The sequence below is a fragment of the Homo sapiens genome, chromosome 22 (assembly GCF_000001405.40).
Source record: "Homo sapiens chromosome 22, GRCh38.p14 Primary Assembly".
Taxonomy (NCBI): Eukaryota; Metazoa; Chordata; class Mammalia; order Primates; family Hominidae; genus Homo; species Homo sapiens.
Window position 1 is genome coordinate 35,676,509 of NC_000022.11, and position 4,515 is coordinate 35,681,023.

General features: G+C 40.4%; 1 annotated feature.

The window, feature by feature from the left end:
- Positions 3,015 to 3,304: an enhancer, noted in NCBI's record as "active region_18914". NCBI's record gives its function as "activates an Ori minimal core promoter by ATAC-STARR-seq in GM12878 lymphoblastoid cells {active_cell/tissue: GM12878}" and the evidence as "EXISTENCE:reporter gene assay evidence [ECO:0000049][PMID:35858748]".

Genomic DNA, 4,515 nt, shown 5'->3' on the forward strand with positions numbered 1-4,515 from the left:
CAGACTGGACCAATATATATCTTAAATATATTTGACTGATGTCTCATGTCTCCCTAAAATATATAAAACCAAGCTTCACCCTGACCACCTTGGGCATAAGTTCTCAGGATCTCCTGATGGCTATGTCATGGACCATGGTCACTCATATTTGGCCCAGAATAAATTTCTTCAAATATTTTACAGAGTTTGACTATTTTTGAGGCCTCTGCAGTATTTTCTACAGTTCAATGCTTTAGTTTACCACAGGTGTTTTTTTCCTTTTTTTTTTTTTTGAGACAGAGCCTTGCTCTGTCACCCAGGCTGGAGCGCAGTGCCAAAATCTTGGCTCACTGCAACATCCACCTCCCAGATTCAAGTGATCTCCTGTCTCAGCCTCCCGAGTAGCTGCGATTACAGACACCCCCCACCATGCCTGGCTAATTTTTGTATTTTTAGTAGAGATGGGGTTTCACCATGTTGGCCAGGCTGGTCTTGAACTCCTGACCACAAGTGATCCACCTGCCTTGGCCTCCCAAAGTGATGGGATTACAGGTGTGAGCCACTGCACCTGGCTGAGCCCTCCTGTTTTGTTCTTTTTCAATATTGTAATGGCTATTCAGAGTCCCTTAAGAGTCCATATAAATTCTAGGATGAATTTTTCTACTTCTGCGAAAAATGTTGTTGGGATTTTGTTAGAGCTTACAATGAATCTGTTGATCTCTTTGGGTAGTATTAACATCTAAACAATATTGTCTTCCAATCCATGAACACAGTATGTCTTTCCATTTATTGATGTCTTCTTTAGTTTCTTTCAGCAACATTTTGTAGTTTTCAGGATACAAGTCTTTCACCTCCTCGGTTAAGAGGCACTAACAATTTAAAGCTGGTTCTTGTCCACAGTAGTTCCCTACAGCAAATGTGAAACACAACTCATGTTGCAGTTTAAAGGTACCGAGTACAGCCCTGGCTGAGAAACTCTGTAAAAGGAGAAAAAAAAACTTCCCCAGCCCCAGCAACCAATACCTAAAAGATTTGTAAGCAGAAATTTTCATTCCTGTAATTTATTCATTCTCTCAGCTGCACCTGTTTGTTAAGGCCACAGGGGCTGTCATCAACTAAGAGCTATTCCGGTAAAGCAAACAAACAAACAAACAAAAAAACCCTGGCTCTATTTTCAGCAGCTACCCAGCTCTGTGGGTGCCAAGTCCATGACCCCGCATGACTTTTGTAACCCAAAGCCAAAGGCCGGAATTTAGGCTCAGGCAACACAATCTCTGGGTGTTATTTTGCCCCTTAAATTGCACTCTTTGTACAACGTTTCTGGCCCCATGCAATAACCCAGAAATAGACACAAGAATTAGGCAGATGGAGATAGAAATAGCGCCTTAATTACTGATGAAGCTGTTAGAGAATGAGGTTCCTTCTCTCCGAGCCATGTGGGCTTATGAATATTTCACCCCACCACTGGACAGATTATCCATCCCTGGAGCAGGAACCCTGGACAACTGTGTGCCTCTCCAACAGGGCTTGTCTCTCTGACACCTGCAGCTTGAAGGAGCAGAACTAAATACGTGCTCTCCTGTATGTAGGTAGATCCTAAGGAAAGTTGAGAAGAAAGGGCTAAGCTAGGCATGACTCCACTCCTTCAAAGATTAACAGATACATTTCACCCCCTCCCTGCAGGAGGCTGGGAGCTTTGCTCCCATAAAAGTTCCAGCACATAGAAACAAGAAAAAGCAAAATAAGTGTTTCCTCCTATATAAAGCAATTTAAAAGCTTAATTTACACCCATACATTTGCTCCTTACAAGCAAAGAATAAATTTCTTTCAAATGCTTCGGGATCATTTGTAAAAATATATCAAGCACTAATCTACAAAGAAAATCCCAATAAGATTTTTTTAAAGTAATTATAGAAGCTGCCTTCTATGACCATACTGCAATAGAGCTGTAACTTAACAATATAAGGATGATCAATTTTTTGCTCATTTTCTATTTTAAATTAGGTTTTAAAATATGAAGTGTGCAGTTTAATTAATGTTTACTTACTTATCCACCACATAACTACCACTTGATGAAGATACGGAATGTTTCCAGCACTCCAGACAGCTCCCTTTTATTCCCATCCGGTCCATATTCACTGTATATGCTTTCTATGGATGCTGCAATAAATTACCACAAATGTAGTGGCTTAAAACAATACACACTTATTGTCTCACAGTTCTGTAGGTGAGAAGTCTAGGTAAAGCTCAACTGGGTTCCCAATCTTATCTTGGCCTTTTTTTTTTTTTTTTTTTTGAGATGGGGGTCTCGCCACATTACCCAGGCTGGTCTCGAACTCCTGGGCTCAAGCAATCCCTCTGTCTTGGCCTCCCAAAGTGGTGGGATCACAGGAATGAGCCACCATGCCCAACCTTGTCTTAGCATCCAACTACCAAAGTCAAGGTGTTGGATGGCCTGGGCTATTGTCTGGATACTCCAGGGGAGAAACTGCTTCTAGGTGTCTTCATGTCATTGGTAGAACTGACTACTTCTCATGATTTCCAGAACAATGACTCAAGTCCTTGTCACACTTTGAGACTTCTGACTTCCTCTTCTGCCGCATCTCTCTACCTCCAGCCAGGGAATGTTCTCTGCTTCTAAGGGCCCGTATGATTAGATTAGTCCCATCCAGATAATCTCTGTCTTTTAATGTCAACTCATTAGTAACTTTAATTACATCTGCAATGTCCCTCTTGCCAGGTAACATAGCATATTTATAGTTTCTAGGGATTAAGATGGGACATTCTGGGAAACTGTTATTCTGCCTGCGATATCCACTCTTCTGATTTGTCACCATTGATTAGTTTTCCTTGTCCTTGACATTCATATACATAAAATCATACAGTACTCTTTTGTACTCAGAGATATATCTGTGAAATTCATCTGTGTGGTTATGTGTAGCTTTAGTTAATTATTTTTTACTGCAGTGAAATTCCGTTATATACCAAAATGCATTCTTCATTCTAATGATGAACATGCTTGAGGCTATTATAAATAAAGCTGTTATGTATATCCCTGTTAATGTGTGTGATATGGTTTGGCTCTGTGTCCCCACCCAAATCTCACCTTGAACTGTAATAATCCCCAATGTCGTGGGAGGGACCTGGTGGGAGGTAATTGACTCATAGGGGCAGTTTCCCCCATACCGTTCTTGTAGTAGTGAGTAAGTCTCACAAGATCTGATGGCTTTATAAATGGGAATTCCCCTGCACATGCTCTCTTGCCTGCTGCCATGTAAGAAGCCCCTTTGCTCTTTCTTCATCTTCCACCGTGATTGTGAGGCCTCCCCAGCCATGTGGAACTGCGAGTCCATTAAACCTCTTTCCTTTATAAATTACCTAGTCTCAGGTATGTCTTTATTAGCAGCATTAAAACAGATGAATACAGTATGTTTTGGTAGTTTTATACACTCACTTCTCTTGCACATATAGCAAGTAGTAGAATTACAGTTTGTAGAGTGTACATATTTTAGCTTTAATAAACACATCTGAAGTGATTGTATCTATTTTCATTCCCACCAGTAATGGTTAGAGTTCCAGTTGTTCCACATCCTCACCATCATTTGTATCGTCCCTAAAAAATTTTAGCCAGTTTGCTGAGCATGTAGTGATATCTTTGTGATTGTGATTTTAATGTATATTTCTTTGATGACATATGTTTGTTTGTTTGTTTTTGAGACGGAGTTTAGCTCTTGTCATCAAGGTTGGAGTGCAGTGGCACAATATCAGCTCGCTGCAACTTCCGCCTCCTGGGTTCAAGGATTCTCCTGCCTCAGCCTCCCTAGTAGCTGGGACTACAGGTGCATGCCACCACGCCTGGCTAGTTTTTTGTATTTTTAGTAGAGATGGGTTTTCACTGTGTTAGCCAGGATGGTTTCGATATCCTGACCTCGTGATCCGTCTACCTCAGCCTCCCAAAGTGCTGGGATTACAGGCGTGAGCCACAGTGCCCGGCCTCTTTGATGACATATGATACTGGTATCCATGTGCTTATTGGCCCCTTTAATCTCTTTTTTTGTGAGATGCCTGTCCAAGCCTTTTGCCCATTTTTATTCTGTTATTTTTCTTATTGATTGAAGAATTTATTTTTTTTTTACATTGAAGTCTTTTGTCAGATATATTTATCATAAATATCTTCTCTCAGGCTGTGGCTTGAGGCACTAACAATTTCAAGGTGGTCCCTAAACTGATAGTGTCTTACTGATATATACCCTCTTACTGGTATATGTATTTTTAAATTTTTGGTACAATATATATAATATGAAATTTACCATTTTAACCATTACAAAGTGTACAGTTCAGTGGCATTAAGTACATTCACATCGTTGTGCAACCATCCCTACCATCTATCTCCAGAACTTTTTTCATCTTGCAAAACTGAAACTCTCTACCTATTAAACAATAACGCCTCATTCCCCCTTCCCCTATACACTGGCAATCACCATTCTACTTTCTGTTCCTATGAATTTGATTACTCTAAATACCACATATGAGCAA